Here is a 24,665-nt window from a genome sequence, read left to right as displayed (position 1 = left end):
TATATTTGTAATTGCGTAATGTATACATATATATATATATATATAAAACATATATCCAAAAAAAAAAAAAAACCAAAAAACAAAAAAAACCTCTCCCAGGCCCCATTTTGCTGGAGTTTTAAAGACAAAGTGCCTCTGTGCTGAGACAGGAGCTGGGAGGCACTGTGCCCAAAGGCAGGAGGTTCATTCCTGTGTCGAGCTCTTCCCCTGCAAGCGAGGCCTGTGTTCGTGGGAGGGCACTTAGAGACACCCTCAAGAAAGGGCTATAGAAGTGCAAATTATTAATAGACATTATTCCAGTGATGCTCACTTAAAACCTCATTGGCAGCAGATGAAACAGTGGAGGCCTCTTGCCATTTGCTCGGATTTCTCCTGCTGTTCTCCCTCGAACGAGGACTGCAGCAAACATGAGATGTTTGAAAACTCAGCATATCTGCATTTTTTCTGGTTTTATGGGTCAAGGGAGGGAACGCTGGTTTTGAGGGAAAGGTGCATTTTCTTGAGTTGGCGGTGAACAAGTTAAATGAATACTGTCCCCCCTTCTTTTTTTGAGGTTATATTTAAAGATAAAAGTGTCCCTATTAACATGCAGATTTGGATATCCATTTGCAAAGAACAGAGTTATTTCAGATGCTGTATGGGAATCCTTTTTGTGCTTGTATCTTTGGGGGCGGAAAGTCCAGCTGCCTCTTCTAAGATTGCCCATAACTCTTCAGATGTCAACAAATCATTGAAAGGTGTCAGAATGGGGGAAATGAAAGATAATTATTCCAGCCGTGGAGAGCTACTTTGAAAGTGAATAGAATCTGTCAGATCGTCTTTTGAAAACGGCAGTTGGCTGCTTGTCTTGGCCATATTAAATGGATATATCTGGAGCCCAGTGAGGTTGTTTGAGATGGCAGTAATCAGCTTAAGTTGGTTTTGGTGGAGAAAAAAAAAAAGCACTAGAAACGGGGCAATTACTGAGTTGGCGTGGAACAGACGCCCTGATATGGTGATGCCGGGGATTTCTATTCAGTTCTTAAAAAAATGGAATCTTACATTCTTTGTGAATGAATAAAGAGCAAAGTCCATAAGGACTTGGTAATTTCCAGATGGGGTGGGTGTGGGGCAGCAGGGGAGCCTTCAAGGGGATCCTGTGGCCTGGATGAGTGCATGGGCCACACTTGGAAGAGAGGATAATTCAGTTTCTTCCCAGGGACTGAACTGGGAACCGGAGGACAGACAGACCTTGGCTGAATGAGATGGATGTGGGGTGTTGATGCCAAAATGAAGCCTCATCTGACTTGGTTCATGTCCCCAAGTGGCACAGCAACAAGGAAGCAATTTTGGACAAATGTCCAGCTTTATATAAAAGTAGAGTTGTTCCTGCTTCCCCTTATCCAAAGCCAGATTCTGGGGAACCTGAACTTCCCAGTTTGTGGAAGAAACATCAGATCCAACGTAGAGAGGGTCAGGAGAGGGATTGCCTGGGCCTTACTTCCCCCAGACCTCAGACCTAGACTTTAGGTGCTCTCCCGGAGTGCAGCTGCGCATAAGGTCTCTAGAAACATAGTCCATTGCTTGCACTGGGCTCACACGCCAGGTCACGCTGACATGCATGATGAAAGAGGGTTTTTTTTGTAAGCCCTGTAGTTGTTCTGTGGATAATATAGCTGGATTTTCATTGTGTTTCTATGTTAGAAGTAAATCTTTAAAATAGATGACAATTTGCCTATTCCTGTTAAAGCATTTCTTCATTTGCTAACATAATGCAAGCCCCCTGTGGTCTGCGCTGCTGGCTCTGGGGGAACAGGGCAAAACAAGCTCTTCCGGTCACAGGAGCTTGGGCCAGATGGCTGGGTGGCTTCGCAGTCCGTGGCACGAGTCTCCATGGCTCCTGACCACAGACACTTGCCTGCCACCAAAACAAGGAAGAGCTTTCCTGCCCCACCTCTCTTTTCATATTTGGGGCCAGTTGGGTGGGGAGAAACCTTACCACATGCGGCCTGTGTACTGCAGTCTGGTGGGGTAGCAAGGTCCTGCTGTGCACAGGTCAGGCCCCAGGTGTCCTCCTGCCCTCCACCCGGCCACTGACATTTTAATATTTAGAAAACCTGCCCCAAACAGGCAGCTCTTCCAGCGGGGGACCCTGCTTGCTACCAGGAAGGAGGGTGCATTTGGGGTACCTGACCCTCTGCTGCGTTTCTGCAGAAACATGCCACCCCCTTCGGAGTTTTGGCCAGGGATTGTCAACCTCTTGCCGTACCAGTGACCGCTATCACAGGAGAAGCACCTTCTCAGAATTCCAGGGGCTTGGCAAGCGATATAGCCTGTTTTCTCTGCTTTGCCAATAGATTCTTCATTGTCCTGTCCTCCTTTGCTAAAGGGAGGTAGGGCAGTACAAAATTTTTCTGATTCAACATGTGTGGATTCCACATTAATTCTTTTTTTTTTTTTTTTTTGAAACAGAGTCTCACTCTGTTGCCTAGGCTGGAGTGCAGTGGCACAATCTCAGCTTACTGCAGCAACCTCTGCCTCCCAGGTTCAAGCAATTCTCCTGCCTCAGCCTCCCAAGTAGCTGGGATTAATTAATAGGCCTGCACCACCACACCTGGCTAATTTTTGTATTTTTAGTAGAGATGGGGTTTCCCCCATGTAGGGCAGGGGGGTCTTGAACTCCTGGCTTCAAGTGATCTGCCCACTTCGGCCTCCCAAAGTGCTGGGATTACAGGCCTGAGCCACCAAGCCCAGCATGATTCCACATTAATTCTTACCCACACATTTTTGAGCCCATGGCCAGCCCTGACACACTGGCTTTATCCCATCGGATGTAAGATGTGATTGGTCGGCTCACTGACCTGTTTATATTTGTTTATATATTTTTTACTCATCGAGGGTCTCCCTGCAGGGGTCGGTCTTCAAAAGAAGATCCAATGAGGACTCAGAGTGTTGGTACCCAGGCTTGGAAAGGTAAGGCCCCTCTGACAGTTTCTCTACCTCAGCTTTTGTTTTCATTGGTCAATGCCGACATCATTTGGGATGAGTCACTCCTTTGATGGCAGCTTCCTCAGGGTACTGGGCTCTGCACCCAGTGCCCAGGGACCCTGGTTCTGGTTGGCTGGCCTCTGTCAGCAGTTTCCTGATTGCCCTTGGGTGAGTTGTTTGCCTTGAATGGCTTCTGGGTGATTTTGTATAAGAAAAAATCTCTTTCCCCTTTAAGGCATATAAGAACTTTGGTCACAGGGCAAAACAAAGGAAAGCTCTATTTGTCAGTGGCTGGGTGGAGGGCAGGAGGACACCCGGGGCCTGACCTGTGCACAGCAGGACCTTGCTATCCCACCAGACCGGAGTACACAGGCTGCATGTGGTAAGAAGTTTTCTCCCCACCCGACTGGCCCCAAATATGAGAAGAGAGGTGGGGCAGGAAAGCTCTTCCTTGTTTTAGTGTGAACTTTGTTCACAGGGCCAGGGTCACCTGGGAGCTGGCTCTGGGCATGGCGGGGACCCCATGACCCCGTTCTCCTCATTCTCTGGCAAACTGCCACACAGTGATAAGTTTCAGAACCATAAAAATGTGGCCAGAAGCAAGGATGTGGGCCCAGAGTGTCCCCAGAGCCACCACATTCAAGATGCAGGAGGGTTTTTACCTAGTTCTGATACCCCAGAGGAGGACAGAGTCCAAAGCCAGCTTATCCTTTTGGGTCACTCATCTCTTCTCAGAGGCCAGAGAGGACAGACACAGCCGTCTGCATTGCACAGAGGCTGGGGAGGGGTGAGAGGCTCTGTCTATGGGGCACCAACTCTGCGTGCGGTTAGACATTCAGCACGAGGCATAAAGCCTGTGTCTATGACCCCCTCTGCTGTAATGATGGGGCATTCCTTCAACAGTGAGAATTTATGTGGGACACTTTTACTTCTTGCCAGGCCCATCTTATAAGTTATTGTTTCATCAGTGTATTCATATTATCTGTCCTGAATCTTTTCCTATTTATTAAGAAATTTTACTTCTGCACTTGTGGAAAGTTTATTTTTTAAAAAACTTTATCTACTATCTTGACCCTTAAACTGTAAAGATTTCCAAAATGGAAAACATGAGAGAGAGGGGAAAGTGAGATCTCATTTATTCGGGAAATATTTTTCTGAATACTCCATAAAACGTTCAAAAACATGTAAGGAGGGCTGACTTAAGAGTCCAAAAAATTGGGTTCTAATCCCGGTCTCACTTTTCTAGCTGTGTGACCTTGGGCAAATTACTCAACCTCTCTGAGCTTCATTTCTTTCTCTATGGAAAGGAGAGAATAAGATACGCTTCATTTCGTATATTATCCAAATTAGCATGTGTGAAAGAATTTGTCAAAGGTAAGAGACTGTATGTAGGTAAAGCACTGGTATTAGTAATAAAAACAAGATAAACGTACAAAAATGACTTGGGTCATGGTTGCTATGACTTACAGCTGATAATAAAGTAGCTATGGGAAAAAAAGTCATGTACTTTCTAGATCACAGACAAATACAATTATATTTTAGTCGCAGAAAATAGAGCCAAACATTCCACTGGCCCCAGGGTCCCTCTCCACCTGCGAGGTGGGAGGACAGCGTCTGGTCAGCTCAGGGCCTTTAAGAGCAGTGCTGACCAATTGGAAGGCAGAAGAGTCTCTTTCCTCAATCTCATTGGTTGCTAGAGGTGTCAGTCATGGCCTGCCCACCCACCGCCCCATAATAGGCTTAAATGGCTGCTGTCTATACCACCTGCTGATAATTTTTGACTGGTTTTCCTAACTTGAAAAGATGAGTGGGACCCTCTAAATTCTTCTTGTGGGGATTGGAATTGGAAGAGTGAGAGAATCAGTCAAGTGAAGGCAGGTGATACTGCAAAAGGACATGTAGGGTGCAGGGTACGGTGGCCCATGAGGGCCATGTGCGAATTGCAGGAGTGGAGCCAAGAGGATGGAAGAGGAACCCAGAAAGAAATGGAAACACTATCCGGTGAAAGCAGTGGGGGAGGGAGGGGTGTCTCAACACTGAAACCAGCTCCAGCTTTGCCACAAACTGCCCCGGGGAGGGGAGCCCTGTGTCCTTGGCAGGAGACGCCATCCCATGGGCCAGGGTCACCTGGGAGCTGGCTCTGGGCATGGCGGGGATTTTTTTTGTAGATTTAATGCCGTCTTGTTTAAATAACTGCCTGTTCCTGCCTCAGCATTTACAAGCGAACCTGCCTTTGTTCCATGGCCATAGATCCTACCCCAGTCTGCCGTGTTGAAAATGCAGATCGGGGTGTGGGCCGAGAGTGTGGCTGCTGAAGCACAAACCCTCCTGTTGCGGGGGTAACTCAAAACCCGAGCCTACCTGGGTGGGTCCCTGAATCCTCAGAAATACAGACTACACCATGCTGTCCCTTCTGCGTGAAGGGCAGTGGATAAATAAATTAGTTGTATAATAATAATATAAATATTATTATAGCAACAATAACAAAACAATAGCTAGATTCGTTGTGCCTAGTATGCAGTAGACACCAGGCTCTGTGTTGTTTTACATCAGCCCTGTGAGGTAGATAATCCAAGAATTTTACAGAGAAGGAAACTGAAGCCCAGAGATACTAAGTGGCAAAGTTCCCCAGCCAGTAAGTGTAGAGCTGGCCATAGTCGAACCCCAGAGCTCAGCTCTTGAGCACTACATTAGATGGCTTGTATTGTTGCAGAACCAACAAATCATAAACAATTAAAACCCCACAGATCGGGTAAGTCAAATCACTCAGCACTTCCACATTATATTTATTTTAGCCACAGACTTCTTATGCCATGGTAAGTCCCTTAAGGGAAGGAATTAGTTTTTCTCTTTGGCTGTAACTCCCTCAGCCTTTGGCGTCAACACCTTCTCACAGTGGGCATCCAGGAAGTTTTGCTGGCCAGCTCTTCTTTCCTGCTCCCTTGTAAAGTTCATGTCCCCTATGCCAAGGAATATCAGCAGCCTGACAATGAACAGTGACCAGGAAATGTATTTTTTAACTTGTGGTACCCATGGTACTTTAAAGTCCAAAAGGATTATGACTTTTTGGTTTTAAAAAACACAAATGCCACCAAAGGGAATTCTATAAAAACGAAATCCTCCTCTTTTCATCTTCTGGATGGCATGGCATGCATTCTTCTAGATAATTCTATTTTTATTTTTACTTTTTTGACACAGGTTCTCACTCCATTGTCCAGGCTAGACTGCAGTGGCACAATCATGGTTCACTGCAGCCTCGACCTCCTGGGCTCAGGTGATCCTCCCACCTCAGCCTCCCAAGTAGCTGGGACTACAGGCATGCTCCACCGTGCCTGGCTAATTTTTGTATTTTTTGTAGAGATGGGGTTTTACCACGTTGCCCAGGCTGGTCTGGAACTCCTGGGCTCCAATGATCTGACCACTTTGGCCTCCCAAAGTGCTGTGATTATAGGTGTGAGCCACTGTGCCCAGCCTCTTCTAGACAATTTTATATAGAAACATACAGATATAGATGTAGTTATAGGGCATGTTATACATATGGCTCCCATCATTCTTTTTAACCGATGCACTGTAAGTTATTCAAACAGTGCTCTATTGATGGAAACTTAGGTTATCATGTTTCATTTTTGGGAATAATATAATCAACCCCCTTGTACATATGTTCTTGCACACTTTGAAGGAATAGCTCAGTAGCATATGGTCCCAGAAGTAGAATTCCTGGATCAGAGGGTGTAAACATTTTACATGTTGGTAGAGACTATCAAATTACTCTCTACAAAGGTTATTTTAACTTGCTTTGCCACCAACAATATATGAGAGGATTTGACCTTGCCCTCACATCCAAAATGTGTATTTCTAAGTTTAATTGGATTCGCATATGTCCTTAGCTGGACTTCTTATAGGTCCCAGATTCCCAGGGCTGCATTTGTTTGCATGGTTGACTGTCACCCTGGGAGCAGTTTTCCTGCTGAAATTAACCAGGATTGATGGAAATAATACAATATCTGCAACAGCTTCCACATTTAAGCATTAAGGCAAAACCAAAATGAAACAAGCTAACAAAACAGAGGTGGAGATTTGTGAGTAAACAGTGAGTGTTTTGCATTGTTCCAAAAATATAAAGTCTAGAAGGTTTTCCATATGGAAATTTCCACTAGCTTTGATATCCTGGGAATACTTTAAATTTCTACTGAAAATGTCTGGAGGAGTTATATAGATGGTAACTGAAGCCATATCGTCATGTCCTGTTAAATTGATTTACATACCTATCACAAAGTTTGGACTGCCAAGGGCCCATAACTCAGTTTACAGTTGGTTAAATATGGCATTTGTGATTTTTTTTTTTTGAAGACAGAATCTCGTTTTGTCACCCACGCTGGAGTGCAGTGGCAGGATCTTGGCTCACTGCAACCTCCACCTCCTGGGTACAAGCGAGTCTCCTGCCTCAGCCTCCCGAGTAGCTTAGATTATAGGCACACATCACCACGTCCGGCTAATTTTTGTATTTTTAGTAGAGATGGGGTTTCACCATGTTGGCCAGGCTGGTCTCGGACTCCTGACCTCAAGTGATCTGCCTGCCTTGGTCTCCCAAAGTGCTGGGATTACAGGTGTGAGCCACCATGCCCAGCTGGCATTTGTGACAATTTTATAAAGAGTTGTTTCCTAGGCTCTGGGTCCAGTTTGTGTTCTCTCAACTAACTGGAAAAAATCAGCTTTCATAATTTCAACCAAACAGCTTCATTTCTAGAAACCCACCAGTGTAAGTGCAAAGATTACTCCTAAATTATTTGCAAGCAATTAAAATCTTGGGATTAATTGGAACTGAAGCAAAAGGAAAGAAATCATTTTAAGATATCAAGCCATCCCTATGACTTTATACTTAAGATACAGCAACTGTGCATTCTCATTTTTTAAAAACAAATGACTATGACTGCTACAGAAATAACAATAGACAATTTTGGCCATTTTCATGCCTCATGAAGAAAGCTCTACCTCAGAAATAGGAAGAGGATAAGCCCACTAGCAGTGCAGTTTCTGATCCAACTTTGCCAAATAATTTGGCAAGGGTGAATGCTAAATGGTAATAATGATAAAAATGTTACTTTTTTTTTTTTTTTTTGAGACAGAGACTTACTCTGTCACCCAGGCTGGAGTACAGTGGCTCAATGTCTGCTCACTGCAACCTCCGCCTCCTGGGTTCAAGCGATTCTCCTGCCTCAGTCTCCTGAGTAGCTGGGATTATAGGCATCTGCCACCAAACCTGGCTAATTTTTGTATTTTTAGTAGAGACAGGGTTTCACCATGTTGACCAGGCTGGTCTCGAACTCTTGACCTCAAGTGTTCCACCCGCCTCGGCCTCCCTAAGTGCTGGGATTACAGGCATAAGCCACTGTACCCGGCCAATAAATGTTACTATTATCAAGGGTCAATTTTTATTTAAATGAGTGACTGGTATTCTGGAAGCTGTTTTCCCACTGAAATTCCAGGAGTCATAGAAACAATGTTACCATTATCTGTTATCATTATGGTAAAAGCTTCCATTTATTAAACCCTCACTATATATAAGGCATTATGATAAGCATTTCTCATCTATTTTCCAAATTTAGTTTCTGTGAAGAAGGAAATGTTATCCCTTTTTTACACCTGAGGATGGGTGCTGAGCAGTTAAGTAGTTTGTGTGAGATGACAGGGCTGGCAAAGTTCACGTAGGAATTCACCCTCCCCTGTCCATCTCCAACAAGGTGCTGCGTGTGTCATATCTCAGGTGGCTCTGGCCGCAAAATGGTCCAATACCTGCTTGCACGGGGAAATCACTGAGGGATCGTATTTTATAAAGCATCCTGTGTGCAAAATGTTTTATGCATAGGGGTGGGTTAGGGTTTCTCGCTCTGAAAAACAAAACAAACAGGAATTGGAACAGGTGGAAGGCTTAAGCCGAGCCAGCTTTTTGGTCTGTTCTTCATCATGTCTCAATTTCTGTAATGAAATTTTCCCACCAAACAGCCACACAAATGCCTTGGTCGTGGAGACTGAATTGGGTCTTTTCCGGAGAATGACACTTCTTCCATTGAAATGGCCCCTTTCTTGGACAGGGTGCTGGAGTGTGTGTGTGTGTCTGTGTGTGTATGTCTGTGTGTGTGTGTGTATACTTGTTTGCCTCGTGAAGCGGGCATTCAGGTGGCGCAAGGCTGAGAGTGACTTGTTTGGCTATTTGTGAAGAAGCTGGCAAACTTGGGCCTTCTCCCTGGCAGGGAGGAGAAAGGGCCGCTTGTTTCTGAAATATCAGCAAAAAGGCTGGTGCAGGTGGGGCCCCCATCAGTGAAAAGTTGTTGGAAGCAAAGGCTGCAGGTGCTGCCTCGGGAACACGGACGTGTGCTTCCTGGGTAGGGCGCGGGAGAAAGAGGACTGCCAATCGCCAAATAGAACCACACTGTTGTCCCAGGGGTGAATGAAAAAGATGTTTCAGTGCTGTGGACGGATCTGGATGGTTTGCCACGGAGGACAAAAAGTCTCCTATAAAATTCCATTTACATAGTCCTATCTCACTTGGGCTTTTGGTGACCAGATTCAATTGTGCTGGTGTCCCCTGTGCAGTGTGATATCATAGCTTCAGAGGAAGGCTTTATTTAGAGGTCACACTAGTTTGTCCTGGGGATGTAGTCATTTTTTGTGTCACGGACAATGTTTTACTGTGGAGATATGAGCCAGATGGCTCAGCCACTTGCAGTCCGGAGCTAAACAGTGTCTGTATTGTTGGCGAATAAACAGAATCTATTGTTTGCTGCTCATGAAACTCTAGTGCCCACCACTGTTTAGAGATGAAGTATTTAATAAATTGTTAGGTCTCGCTTAAAGAATCTGTAAAACAACATCTCAGAAGGACACAGGCCTCCAAAAATATAAATCTCATGTGTTCTTAAAAACAGCAAGAACAACAACAACCTTTCTCTTTGGCTTTCTTCCTTCCCCGCCCCCTCCATCTCTTGAGGCCATTCACTCTTACAGTAGTGAAGGCTCTGATTTTGTTTCTTTCCCATGGCAATCCATATGCTAATATGAGCTGTAACCCTTGTGCGGGGTGGTGGGGGGACAACGTGACGCTTGTGCTCGGCCCCCTCCAATTTTCTCACCCCCTCCAAGCCATGGCTACCTATTTGCCAACACTGAACAGAACAGTGGAGCCTTATGGGGTAGCACGTGTGTCACGGAAATGCGGTTTGGGGATGAGCTTCCTCCCTGCTTCCTGAGATGATACTCTGAAGATAAAAGGTGTAGTGTCTGGCAAGCTCCTCTCACATGCTGAATTGGCCTCACTCAGTGGGGAAATCTGCTCACTCACCCCAAACAACAACAAAACAACAACAACAAATAACACCACAGCACAGCAACCTGGAAGGACTGAAAAATATTTGTTTCCTTTTGCAGAATGAGTGTAGAGTGTCACTTTCTGAGCATTTACCACTCTTGGCCTTCCCCATCTTTTTTTTTCCAGCATGCATCTTGTCTTTCTAAATAAAGCACACTTTTCCATTTAACTTCGCCCAGCTGTGGCTGGGTATATTGCAATGTCAGAAGTATTCGTTTCCTGCCTTAATTGCAGCCACAGCCAACCTTGACTGGCAAGGAGAAAGCCACTGACAGGTTTGGGCTGTGTCCAGACCTCCTCAGACTTTCTGTCAGCCAACTGTTTGACAGTATATGCAAATGCATGCAAATGCAGGGACACTGGCCGAACACCTGCAGAAAGTGACCATCTCCACTCAGGCTTGGCCTCCCCTGTAACTGGGGGTTTTGAAATGCTGCTTGGTCGCTTTCTGTCAGTTTATTATGCATTTGTCAGCAGAACGTTGGGCTGATAAAAACACTCCTCTTTGTCCTGAAGAGCCGCAGAGCTCCATGTGGAGCTGCAAGTGCCAGGGCTAGTGGGATGGCTCCTGGCCAGCCCTTGTGAATCCTCCCCTCTGTCTGCAGGACCCGAGCGGCAGCATCCGAACTCTTGTGGGCTTGCCCGCATGGAGGAAGGCCTTCTGTTTCCCTGGGTGTAAAGATGTAGGCTCGATGGTGGGGCAACAGAGCGAAAGGCTGGCTCTCTCTAGCAGCTGGAACTTGGCGACTTTGAGGAATAATATGTCCTGGATTTTCAAAAGCCAAAGGAAAATCTGCCCGGGCTGTCAGGGAATTGGAAAGGGGGAGAGGGCCCGCCACCTCAAGCAGGAATGGAACTGCCAGCCACACACACCCCCTCCAGACTGTGGGAAGACAGCCAGGTGGCACGACTCCGGCAGCCACTTGCCGCCCGGCCATCTCGGCTCCCATCTGCTTAGGCCTTCTCTCACTTCCCACAACTTCTCTCTTTAAGAGGTGCTAAGACCAGCCCGTCAGCTGCGATTTAAAAGTGTATGTGAGACTTGTGTGTAGTTTTGAGTTTGGCCTTTTTGAAAGTAAGGCAGGTGACCTAAGTATCGTGGCTCTAAGACCGTGAAGATCGGTGGACCGGACCCAGATTCTGGGGTCTTCCTCGAGCCATCAGTGAGGGAGAAGTAAGATAGGGACACTGCAGACTGGTGTCCTGTGTGGTCCTTAAACATCGACCACCAGAACCGGGGGAAGCATTTTGCATTTCTTTGTGCAGCCAGGCGTTGGTTCTTCAGAGTAATAAGTCATCTGGGAATGGTTGTGCAAAACAGGTCTTCGAAATCTCCCCATCCTCTCTACTTAGAGGTTGGAAGCGCCTTGAAATCTGGGCAACTTCTTGTGTATTTTTGGGAACCTGAATATACACAACCTAAATATAGGAGCTTGGTGTCTTGAGTATAAATCTATAATCAACTCTGGCAAAATCTGAGGAGTAAGCAGGTATTGCTTGTAATGAAAAACCGGGCTGGGCATGGTGGCCTGTAATCCCAGCACTTTGGAAGGCCGAGGTGGGAGGATCGATTGAGCCTAGGAGTCAAGACCAACCTGGGCAACCATTTAGCAAGACCACATCTCTATAAAAAGTAAAAAACTTTAGCCAGGTGTGGTGGTGAATGCCTGTAGTAGTCCCAGCTACTAAGGAGGCTGAGGTGGGAGGATGGCTTGAGTCCAGGAGATCGAGGCTGCAGTGAGCCATGATCATGCCGTTGCACTCCAGCCTGGGTGACATAGTGAGACTTTAAAAAACAAACAAACAGCTGATATCAGTGTAGACTGCTGATCCAAGTCATTTATACTCCAAAATGGATTGTTCTTTGGCCTGAGAATCATTTTGCCATTCATGCAACTAACATCAGTCAAATAATTGCCTACTGTTTCTTGTATATTAAGAGAAGTGAAAAATCATGGTGAAGTCTCTTGAAATGTTTGACCCTGCAGTCTTTTCTCTCTCTAGAAGGAAGAGGCTGATCTTTGGGCTTTCCAAAAGCTGCAGTTCTGGGACCTGGGGGAAAATTGGAGTGCCTGGCTTCCAAACAGGCATAATGGCTCTCTGCAAGACCAAGTATGTACAAACATCCCTTGAGCAGCCCTGCAAGCCTGATGCTTCACCAATGGGCACCCGGGCTTCATAACTGCTGAAAATCATGGTGTTGATTATCAGCACAGTGACGGTGCCAGGTGCTGCGGAATCAGTGAGTTTTCTAATTATTGCTTTATTGCCAAGGGAGAAAGGGGCAGCTTAAACTCAGAAATGTATGTATTAGGTGCCTGTTAAGTACCCACAATGAGCATCTGCTGTTATGGATAAACTGAGGCACAGTGGCATCAATAGAAACAACTCAGGGCATACAGTAGACCAAGGCCATTCATTGTTAGCACTAGGATCCCAAAGCCCAGGTGCCAGTGCCTCCACCTGCCTCCGGTTAAATATATCACACAGTACGTGCAATGAGAAAAACTCTTGCTGGGACCAAATATCCACAGAAAATCGGGGGGATCTGCATATCAATGATAAAGGTGATTTGAATTAGAAATATAGGAGGCTTCAAAAAGGGACAGAGACGTGATGGAGGAGGCCTCCAATCAGGCCCTCAGTTCCTTTGAGAATCCATGAGACTGATACTGTGTGTGGTTGTCATAATATCACCAAGGAACGAAAGCGGGAATTTCATCAATGGAGATTTTAGACATTTTCCTAACCCCAATGTCTGGCATAAGGGTGATTAGATCCCACTCCTCTGTTCAGAAGGCCAGTGCAATTTCTATGGGTATGGTACCAGTTTTGTTTTACTGATTGGAAAGAGAGTTTGATCATACTAGCAGTAATTCATAATGTATGGGCATCTCTTATGCAAATGAGCCCACTCTTTGCCTTAAAAAAAAAAAAAAAGTCCGGAAAGAAATAAAATGCTACATAAATGGGACCGCTTCGTTTCTCTCCTGCTTGTTCTTTCCCTCTTTCTCTCTCTCTCTCTTTTAAAAAGTAAACCGAAGGTAGTTGTATTTAAGCAGCTTTAATGTCCTTTCAGGGCTGCGCACAGGGTTGTGGTCACTCAGGCAGCAGTAACTTTGAAAAAATGACCCGTCTACACCCAAACAATAACAGAATCCCCCTTTTTATGTTGGAAACGCCCACGGCTTTCTGTGCATCTCCAGACTCCCCACGTAGATGCAACTGTTTGACCAGCCTTCTACTGAACAACTTAATTAAGCAAAAGAAAACGTGTCAGTTTCTGCCAACCTCACAAAAACAGAGCTGTGGGGGTAAAAAGGGTCGGCGAATTAACCCACATTCCTGAACGGGTTCACTAAAGCGAGGCCTGGCTTTGCAGCAATGCCAAGGGGAACCGTGCGCTGGGTTGCCATTCAGATTTATCAAGACATATTGTTCTGTAGATCATACTGAACACAATTAAAGCTGCAGTACCTCGGGGGGCTACAGCTCGGGTGTGAGCTTAGCTTAACTTAAAAAAAAAAAATCTTGTCACGACACGGTGCCTACCATTGACATTCTGCACAGTTACAAAGACAAAACAGTTCTATCCGACCATATGAAAACAGCAAGTTGTTTTTAGTTTTTTCCCCTCTTTAGTGTCCCTGCCCTCCCTCTTCCCCCGTTTTCCCTCTCCATGAAAGCACATGCAATATGCAAAGCAACTGTATACTCTGCATGCAATTTGTACTAGCCAGACCCAACCCGAATTTAATCCTTTTTTTTTTTCTTTTTGTCCTGAGGGCGGGGAAGTGTCCCAGCCTAAATCCTTCTCTGGAAGCTGGGAAAGCAGAGGCCCCAGGAATCCTGTTTCCTAGCCAATTAAATTTAGTTTTCTTTTTTTCTTTTTTTTCAGGCTTGGATTTTGATTTTGCTTCCTTTATGTGAAGCCAGGAGAGAGCTTAGCGCCCAGTACTCCGTGCCCCACCCCCACCACATCGCAGCCTCCCACAGTCACCAGGAAAAGTGGGGGCTTTCAGCGGCAGCCAGAAGGAATTCAGAAACATCACATTTCATTTCGGGAAGAATTGGATCAGCACCAGTTTGGTGTTGAGGCCATGAGATTGTGGCATTTTTATCCCAAATTTATCCTCCCTTGGTCTCTCTCAGTGTGTGTGTCTGTAGGAAGTCATCGTGTAGCATTATGCTATGAAGAAAGCATCCCACACTTATTCAATTGCATCGTCCCACATTCTGGATCGGGAGACACAGACTCAAGTCAACCTGCAGCTGCCTAATTTTGCAGGGAAGCAGCCATCCTGATGTTTGCAGGTTGGAGGCCTCCAAGTGACACACATCAGGAAGAAATGGGCTCTCCAATCCCAGATGAGCTGAAACACAAACGTTTTCTGAGGGAACAGTCAGGAGTCCTATCTTTCTGAGCCCTTTTCGATGCAAGCAACCATTGATGAAGAAGCATTTATGCTTGATACCTATGGCAGGTGTTCTTCGGTGTGGAGATGTTGTCAATGAAAGATTCAAAAGTGGTTCAATTATCAGAAGACCCTATTTGTTTGCTTTTGCCCAGCTTTTGTTTGCTCTGTCACTCAGGGAGAATATAAACAACTTTGGCGAGGTAAGATGGAAAAACAGCCGGTACGGAAATGTTCGATGGACAAATGAGAGGACTTGGCAGAAGTTTGGCTTAGAAGATGAATGATAGAGCCCCGGACAGAATGCAATAGTGGCAATAGGCATGCATTCTTTGCAGATGTGCACCGAAGGCTACAGGCTACTGTGTCTTTTTCTTCTGGCTTCTCTCTTGAGCTTCTGACACTGCACAGAAAGTGGGTCGGTCCTCTGACAGGCTTGAAAAATGCAAAAGTTTACCACCAACTGGTGGGAATACATGCAACACATGCATAAAACAGAGCATCAGTGGTGAAATGCAGCCTGCAGTTTCTCTCCGACAGTTATCCAGATAGTTCATCTCAAAATAATGATTTTGCCATAAACATACAGATATTGCAGGCAAAAGCCATCACAATTCAAAAGCCGTAACAAGAATGGCTTATTCTTTTAAGGGTTCCTTGTTAACTACAGAAAATGATCCACATGTCCCATTGAGGTGCTCTAAGATCTGGGACTGGCTTCTACGTTTATCTTTTTTGCCGAACAATTCAGGCTCCAGAGGGGATTTTTCTTTTTGGTCTGAAGGGTGAAGCTTGTCTGGTCGGCAGCTTTTGCAAACTACAGCCGCTCAGTTGAGCTCATTCCTCTGAGGTCTCTGTGCTGCCCCAAAATGGCTCTTCTGGGCCTGATGGAAAACCTGAGCCAAGCGCTTTAAGTAGACACAATGCCCCAGAGAGACATCCGATCCTCAGGCGGGTGCACCAGCCACCTGGGCCCCTTACTCTGCCTGTGGTCCCACTCCTGGCCTTTGCTCTGGGATTCCTGCTCTCTGGGATGCCTGGACTTGTCTCCCTCTGTCCCCGGGATAGGAAGCGTCGTCTTTGCCGAGGGCCCAGGGCTGCTCTTTGTGTTTTCAGGGGTTCGAGTCTCCTCTCTACTGCTTCCCTGTAGTATGATCTTAGGCAAATTATTTAACCCCCCGTACCTCAGTTTACCCACCTGTAAAAATGGGCTAATAGTATCCAACCTCAGGGAGCTGTTGGGAGGCTTAAGTGGGTTAATTTATGCAAAGGACTTAGAACCCTGCCTGGTGCATAGTAACAATTATTATCTCCCCTGTTAGTCTTTAAACTCCTTCAAGCCTCCAGCATTGCTTTATTTATTGCAGCAAAAGTTCCAGGGGTAAATAATCCCCAGACTGTCTCCCCTCTGTTGGGCACGGCAGAGGGCAGGTGTAGACTTGGCTTGCAAACCTTCCTTCTATTGATGTGGGCTCAATACCCTTGGCTTTCCAACCAAGTCAGAGTGCCAGTCCCTGGAAAGATTTCCCATGACAAATGGCAGCAGGACAAAGGCTGAATTCGATAAGACCCTTCTTTCACCTTGTTAGTACTGCAGGGAGAGGGAGGAGGGGCAAAGACCAGAGGCCGTTAGAGCCCAGGGGGACTTAGAGCTGCCTCACGCCCACCGACCCTCCAATTCCCTCACTCCGCGGCGGGAAATGGGGCTCAGAGACATACAGTGACTCACTCAGGGTCACACAGCAAGGGCTGGGTCTAGAACTCTGTCTTTAACCTCTTGCCTGTTTGTTTCTTCTGGGAACCACCATCACATTCAGATGGCAAGGTCATAAGGAACGCGGCATTCAACACAGCCTTAACTTACTCAAATGTTTCCTTTCATGAACTTCAGGCTTAAAATAACCCAGACGGGGTTTAACGTACCGCTGCAATGTAAAGAGACACTGACTACCCCCTTCTCCCAAATGTGCGTGGGTGTGTGTCTTATACACACAAGGACCGTTTGGACACATCTAAGGGTTGTGATACAGCCGGGCAATACCAGAGGGGCAGAGCGACAGCCACGCGCGCAAGGCACTGAACACCTGGACCCCAACAACCCTCTGCACCCGCAGCCCCAGGCCCTCATCCTTGCTCCCTGGCTGCCCCGTAGCCCACCCGCCCTGGAGCTGCCTAACCCTCGATTAGCGACTGGGAGGTTTCCTAACAAGCCCAAGCTTGATGGGAGCCTCTTGTTGGGTGAAATTTATGACCTGGCACTTCCTCCGAGAGACTTCCCACGTTGAATTGTTGAACGCTTCTGACCTTACCGCCCCAAACAAGGGAAGGGTGGTGAGGGGAGGCGGGGCCGGCGGAGGCTGCGGGGAGAGGGAGGCGCGGCTCAGCCAGATGTCCCGGAGCGGGAGGTGCAGAAGCCGGGAGCGAGGACCTGCGGGCGCCGGAGCGCAGGGACCGGGTCGCCGAGGGCGCACGGCTGTCTGCTGCGGAGGGCGCCACCCAAGTCACCACTGGCGGCAGATGGACCCAAGCCTGGAGTTGGGGTGGTGGGGTGAGAATCCGCCCGGGCCCAGCTTGTCCTATCAGAAACGCCCTCCGAGGAAGGAAAGAATTGCTGAACCTGAGAGAGATGGGATGGGTCTGTTGGTTTCTAGGTCCCTCGTGTGTTTTGTAGACGCTCCTTCGTCTGCAGATGGTATTTGGACAGGCTCCTCTTCCACTATCTACTCTCATCTTAAGCTAAAAGAAAGTCCCGAATCCGTTTCATGGATGGTCACTGCTACTCATTCCTTCCTCCTGCCTGGGGGAAGGAGAGACGCGAGGTGAAGAGACTCTTGGTTCACAGCTTCCCAAACTTGGCTGCACACTGGAATTACCTAAGGAGTTTAAGAAATATAGTGATCCTGGCTGGGCGCGGTGGCTCACGCCTGTAATCCCAGCACTTTGGGAGGGTGAGGCAGGTGGATCACGTGAGGTCAGGAGTTCGAGACCAGCCTGACCAACATGGAGAAAACCCGTCTCTACTAAAAATGCAAAATTAGCAGGGCGTGGTGGCACATGCCTGTAATCCCAGCTACTCGGGAGGCTGAGGCAGGAGAATCACTTGAACCCGGGAGGCGGAGTTTGCAGTGAGCCGAGGTTGTGCCACTGCCTCCAGCCCGGGAAGCAAGAGCGAAACTCCGTCTCAAAAAGAAAAGAAAAGAAAAGAAAAGAAATATATTGATGCCGGGTCCCACTCCCCCAGGAGTGTGATTTAATTGATCTAGGTTGAGGTCTGGGCATCCGAGTTTTAGAAGCCCTCCTGGTATCCTAATGAACCAGCTCTCCACAGCCAGCCTGGCATGACATTTAGGGTGTCACTCGACATTAAACATCTGAGAAGCAGGTTTAACTTTAGGCTTACACTTACAGATTAATAAAATGGAATTTTTTGACTAGTGGCTCATCTAAGCAGGGCAGCCATTTACTAAAATAACCTTGTGCTAGCTAGAATGTTCTTTATGGGGGAGGGGAGCAAGTTGCTGTTCCCATGACCAGTGTAGTCGGATGCATCAACTCATTGTGGGCCCCTAGGTATTGGGATAGAGGCACATCCTTAACTAGGTCCTGCACCCTGTGGCCTGGACTCCCTCACCAGCTTCTTCTAGAACTCCATGGGGTTCTAGCCACACCATGGGATGCATACACGCTTCATCTAACTGATAACATGCTCATTGTTTAGCATTTATGTTAGACAATGGTTCCCCCCCATGGCAGCAGCTCCAGACCTCCCAGACCACGTCAAATCTTCCTGTTATGTGCTCATCATTCTAGTCCTACTCCTACACAGCCATGATTGCATAGAAATCCAGTGAAACATGCCTTCTTTACTCATTGCTACAGCTCTTGGGCCATAGTAGGACCAAAATAAATATTGGTCAAACTATGAAGACGCGCCACTCTTATTGCCAAAACCAAAAACCATTTTTGGGATCTAGTGTTGCATTCACCTGGATTTTGTTGGCTCAGGCTTAGGGCTGGTGCATAGATATTCTGGCAAAGGAATTTGGCTCACTGGATTGCTTTGCTGCATGGTGGCTGTTCTGTTGTTAATGGTACTTTATGGGTTATTTTGTGCCTCGGTGAACTCAACTATAAAGCCAGCAGGGATTACAGAAAACCCATGGGACTTCAAGGAAGAGGAGTGTTACTGTTGTGAAATGCCGTGAACATGCAAAAGTTTCATACACATGATAGAAGTTTTCACGATTCTTTCATGATGGGCATTTCCTAGCAAAGTGTCAATAACATACTTAAAATGTTTAAGTACACTGTACCCAGAAAGCTGGGTGCAGTGGTGTATGCCTGCAATCCCTCAGGAGGCTGAGGTGGGAAGATCTCTTGAGCCCAGGAGTTCAAGACCAGCCTAGGCAACAGAATGAAACCCATCTCATTAAAAAAAAAGAGAAAAAAAAGTTTACAAAAAGGGTAATCATTAAAGTTCAAATACTATAATCAAAGTAAAATAAAAGGAAACTAAGGTTTCTTGAATATTGACACTATGTCGAGTACTTTTTGTATATGATGCCCTGTAATCCTAACAATATACCTATAATATAGGTTGATTATTACCATTTTACAGACACAAAACTGAAAATTCAGAGAGATTCAGTAACTTGCCCAACACATGGCTAGTAAGGGGTGAAAATGAAATTTGAAAACAATTATCCCAAACTTCCTACTCCATACCACTTCCCTTTTAAAAAGAAAGAATCTTGAGGTGATGGAACTCTAGATTGCCATTTGGGGTTGATACTTGCATGTTGGCTATTTCTGTGTTGTAGAGAGAAAATAATCCTGAAAAAATTCCAAGAGAGACACCAATGCTTGTAAAACAAAACAAAACAAAACAAAACACAAAACCTTGGCATAACACCCAAATCTTATTTTCTTTGAAATTCTTTTTTTTTTTTTTTTTTTTGAGACGGAGTCTCGCTCTGTCGCCCAGGCTGGAGTGCAGTGGCGCGATCTCAGCTCACTGCAACCTCCGCCTCCCGGGTTCAAGCCATTCTCCTGCCTCAGCCTCTCCAGTAGCTGGGACTATAGGCGCCTGCCACCACGCCCGGCTAATTTTTTGTATTTTTAGTACAGACGAGGTTTTACCGTGTTAGCCAGGATGGTCTCGATCTCCTGACCTCGTGATCCGCCCGCCTCGGCCTCCCAAAGTGCTGGGATTACAGGCCTGAGCCACCACGCCCGGCCTCCTTGAAATTCTTTGATCAACAGACTAAGGAACTCAGCACTTGCATCCAGATAGAACAGAGAGTGATCACAGTCTTTAGGCCAGAGCCACTTGAGATCAATAGACCCAATAAAGAACAACCTAGCACAGAATTGGACTATTACCATTATTTGGAAAAAGTAGACCAATATTTCTTTACTATGTGTAATGCATGAGACACAAAATTAGAAGTGTAAATTTTATTTTATTATCCCATTTAGAATTAAGCCAACATATACATTATTCTGTATCTATCTATAATCAGGCCTGATCATATCTTTTTCTTGCTCTTCTCTCTGGTGACACCTTTTCAGATAGATTTTTTTAAAAACCTATGACAATAACGCCAACATTTTCAGATCTATTTAAATCACAATTTTGAAATTGTATTCTTCCTTAGGAATTCAATTTCATGTATCTCTTTGTCATTTTCTCACCCCCCAAAACTCCTTTTTAAAATTTTGTAACCATTATGTGGTTTTATTTACAGCGGTTGTAAGTCAGTTGGTTATACCGTGAAAGGATGGCAGGCATTCTGAGTCTGACAGTGATTTAAGGGTTTTCCATGAATTATCTTTTCTTGTGAAATCAAGATCCAAGAAATATCATAAATCCTGGAGTTTCCAGCCACCAGGTAAATCAAGATAGATCGTTGGATAATGGCCCTAAAAGAATCCTAATCACAGAAATGGGAAACATTTTATTAAAAATTCAGACTCCATTCTCTACTGGATTTCTTAAGCCTCAAGATACCCATAGCATCATTTCTACTCTTCAAAACAAAGAAAAACAGAATGAGGCTTTCCTGCAATGGCAACATCATTTTGAATCTGATCCAATGGGAGTGAGAGGGAGATTGTGGCGATGACTTTCCTGGCTGGCTAGATGGGTGGTAGTTTGGTCCACAGAAACAGGGGAAGATGGAAAGGGCCCAGGTTTGTGGGATAAATGATCTTGAACTTTGTTTTGGATATTTTGAGTATAAGCTGCCTTTAAAACATCCAGCAGGTGTGGGCTAGGTTGTTGAATACCTGATCTCTGAAGGTGGAGATTAGCATTTGCAAGTGGTGGTCACATACACTGCAGTTTGAGCCCCAGCAGGGAGACTGCCCAGAAAGAACTAGAGTGAAAAAGGAGGGATCCTGAGCTCTAATATTTACATGCCCTGTGGAGAATCAACTTATGAACAAAAGCCTGAGAAGATGTAGCCAAAGAAGTAGGAAGAAAACCAGGAGAACGTGGAGTCACAGAATTCAAGACCATACAATATTACAGTTAGGCAGGGCGGGTTATTAATGGCCAGTTCTGCTGGGGAAGATGAAGGCTGGAAAGACCCTTGGATTTTGCGGCTTGGAAGCACGTGGGCCACTTAGGTGGAGGGGACTGTGTGGACAGGGAGGAAATGGAGGCAGGAAGTGCAGATAATACAAGGAGAAGCTCGCCTGGGAAGGATGGAAGCTGCTTGCTGGAAGTGGAAGTGAGGTGAAGGGAGAGCATTTGCTTTTTTATTTTTTTATTTTTTTTTCCGATTTTAAGGTGGAAGAAAATGCCTGTGTTTCAATGATGGGGGAGGGTTCCACAAAAGCAGGAGATGTTGAAGCCAGAGAAGACAGCTAGGATGATTTGCAGGTGACTCAGGAAATGGGAGGGCTGAGGACTCAACCAGGTGGCATCATTTGACCTGGGCTGGAGGAGAAAATTCCATTCTTATGGAAATGGAGGGACCCAGGAGAGGCTAGGGCAGAGGCAGGAAAGTACTGGGGGCTGGGGATGGGAAAATGAGGCCGTTGAGGCTGTTTTTCTCTGAAGCCTTCTATTTTCTCTACTAAGCAGCAGAAAGGTCATTTGCTGAGAGTGACAGGGAGGTAAGGGGCAGTGGTTTACAGAGAGCAGAGAAGGTCATGAAAGGTACCGCACAGAGTGAGAGTGCTCGCTAAGCAGTGAACCATTTTAGGGTTGCTGGCAGAGTTGAGGGGTGGGCAGATAATTGTAAATCAGAATCCCGATCAGATTCATGCTCAGCAGAGTGTACCTTCTTGGGAATAAACCCAGACAACTTGGTGCCTGGTTTTCGAACACTCCTTGTCCCCAGGCTATAATGGGTGAAATGGTGGCTTCCAGAAAGACATGTCCCTGTCTCAACCTCTGGAACCTGTGAATGCGCCCTCATTTGGAAAAAATAATGCAGAGATAAGCAAGTTAAACATCTCAAGATGAGATCCTCCCGGATCATCCAGTTGGGCTCTAAGTCCAGTGATAATTGTCTTCATAAGATATACACAGAAGAGAGACACAGGGAGAAGAGAAGAAAGCCCTGTGAAGGTGGAGGCAGAGATTGGAGTGATGTGGCCACAAGCCAAGGAATGCCAGGATCCACTTCCAGAAGCTGGAAGAGAAAAGGAAGCATCCTCCCCTAGAGCCTTCGGAGGGAAAGAGGCCCTGCCTTCTGCAATTTGCGCTTCTAGAACTGTGAGAGAATACATTTGTGTTGTGTAAGCTACCAAATTTATGGTACTTTGTTATGGCAGTCAAAGGAAACGGATACACAGCCCTTTCCATGGCACCCTCTCCTATAGCTTGTGGGGCAGCACCCTTCCTGCTCCCCACTTCCCTGCTTTTGGGGTGGTTCTTCAACCCTAAGCCATGCTTCCTTTGAGAGAGGCTGTGGCCTGTGGCCTGAAGTCCCTGCTGTCTCCTGGCTCCCGGTTTCCTAGCTATGTGACCTTGGGCAAATTCAGTTGCAACTGGAACAAAATAGCTACTGCCCGCTCCTGGAGATTTCCTGGAGGGATCAGTCAAAACTGCTCCCACATTGCTTCTCTGTAAAATTTGTTTGCGATTTCTGCTCTAAATTCCCAAGCTGCTCCTACCTCTTCATTGCCATTCTCCTTCATGGGGCGTCATTCATTTCAGAGGTGCTGAAAAGGCATTTCTTTGGACCACCCGGCTCTGGGTGCTCAGTGCAGCTTCCCGGGGACTCCATTATGTGTGCCTTTGGTGACAGCGTCCTTTTAGAAACCACAACACAGAGAATAGTACATTGCCAGGGTTTCCAAGGATGTTGCTTTGTCTTAAGAGCAAGGTTGATCTTCTATAGAAAGGACCAGGAATAGACTTGACTTCATTTCCTTTTTCTTTCCAACTCCAGTTCTCTCTCTCTCTCTCTCTTTTTTTTTTTTTTTTGAGAAGGGGATCTTGCTCTGTCTCCCAAACTGGTGTGCAGTGGCACAATCACAGCTCACTGCAGCCTCAACCTCCTGGGCTCAAGAGATCTTCCCACCTCAGCCTCCCAAGTACCTGGGACTAGAGGTGCACACCATCATGCCCTCCTAATTTTGATGTTTTTTTTTGTATAGAGAAGGTCTCATCATCTTGTCCAGGCTGGTCTCAAACTCCTGACCTCAAGTGATCCTCCTGCCTCAGCCTTCCAAAGTGTTGGTATTATAGGTGTGAGCCACCAGGCTGGCCTCCAACTCCAGTCCTCTTAAAACTCGTCCCTAGAGCACTGAGAGTGCTTCCTGCCTAGCTTTGTGGGTATGGTTTAAATCTTGGGCCGAAAAGCAAAAATTTTAGAGCTCCAGCTGGTGTGTCCCGGAGGGGTCACAGGTGTGCCTGAAAACCTGCTCCCTCAACTCCAGTGATCGACTTGCACTCAAAGTCCCACATCCAAGCCAACTGGGACAGTCAGTCACCCCGTCCTCAGCCTGAAGCCAGGTCTGTATGCTCTGCAAAAGTCATGTTTCTCTGTGTGCTAAGATGGGGGGAGAAAAAACCCCAACCTTCACCTCCACCTTTTTCTAGTTACAAAGAAGGCGAATTTCGGTTGGAGAGTGGCCCTTCCCTTTTGTGACTTCATCTCTCTGCTCTCTCTTCCCCCCGGGGTTGTGGAAGGCAGCATCAGGGCTGTTTTCTTTCTCTAAAAAAGTTCCATCTTTTCTCATTGTAATAATAATACATGATCATTGTAGATGCTTTAGGCAATAAAAAATGTAAAGAACTAAATTAAATTCACCAATAATTTCACCAGCCAGGGTGATGATAATGAGGATGAAGATGATGAAAATGATGATAATTAGCACTTATTGACTGTTTTATGTGGTGCTGTTCTAAGTTTTTATGGGTAGTAAAACACTTAATCTTCAAAAGAACCCCCTGCTTTTTTTTTTCTTTTTTCTTTTCTTTTCTTTTCTTTTTTTTTTTTTTGAGGTGGAGTCTCACTCTGTCGCCCAGGCTAGAGTGCAGTGGCATGATCTCGGCTCACTGCAACCTCCGCCTCCCGGGTTCCAGCATTCTCCTGCCTCAGCCTCCTGAGTAGCTGGGACTACAGGTGCATGTCACCACACCCAGCTAATTTTTCATATTTTTAGTAGAGACGGGACTTCACCGTGTTAGCCAGGATGGTCTTGATCTCCTGACCTCGTGATCTGCCCGCCTCGGCCTCCCAAAGTGCTGGGATTACAGGCTTGAGCTACCATGCCCAGCCAAGAACCCTTTTTTTACTGGTGGGAAACCAAGGCACTGAGAGTTTAAATAAATTGCCCAAGACCTCAAGATCGCTATTTGATTTTCAGACCCATATTTGAAACTGCACAGCATGCCTCAAGATAGCAGAGAACTGCGCTGGGGCTCTGTCTTCCGCAGTTCCTAAATTATGTCCTGC

The 24,665-nt window shown here is 46.1% G+C and overlaps 1 long non-coding RNA gene across 1 annotated transcript, besides 2 other annotated features; it reads left to right on the top strand.

The window, feature by feature from the left end:
* The first annotated feature begins 3,260 nt into the window (after positions 1–3,260).
* On the top strand, positions 3,261–15,257 carry LOC101928107 (uncharacterized). The gene is made up of 3 exons (NR_109961.1): positions 3,261–3,349; positions 12,338–12,575; positions 14,232–15,257. It is a non-coding gene; the product is annotated as an uncharacterized LOC101928107 (long non-coding RNA).
* Positions 11,055–11,589: an enhancer, noted in NCBI's record as "H3K4me1 hESC enhancer chr21:34487678-34488212 (GRCh37/hg19 assembly coordinates)". NCBI's record gives its function as "activates a minimal SCP1, AML or CMV promoter by ChIP-STARR-seq in primed H9 embryonic stem cells {active_cell/tissue: H9 hESC(primed)}" and the evidence as "EXISTENCE:reporter gene assay evidence [ECO:0000049][PMID:30033119]".
* Positions 21,490–22,016: an enhancer, noted in NCBI's record as "OCT4-NANOG hESC enhancer chr21:34477251-34477777 (GRCh37/hg19 assembly coordinates)". NCBI's record gives its function as "activates a minimal SCP1, AML or CMV promoter by ChIP-STARR-seq in naive and primed H9 embryonic stem cells {active_cell/tissue: H9 hESC(naive and primed)}" and the evidence as "EXISTENCE:reporter gene assay evidence [ECO:0000049][PMID:30033119]".

The sequence above is a fragment of the Homo sapiens genome, chromosome 21 (assembly GCF_000001405.40).
Source record: "Homo sapiens chromosome 21, GRCh38.p14 Primary Assembly".
Classification (NCBI taxonomy): domain Eukaryota; kingdom Metazoa; phylum Chordata; class Mammalia; order Primates; family Hominidae; genus Homo; species Homo sapiens.
The sequence above is the reverse complement of the archived record's forward strand: the minus strand, read 5'-3'. Positions and strand labels throughout refer to the sequence as shown.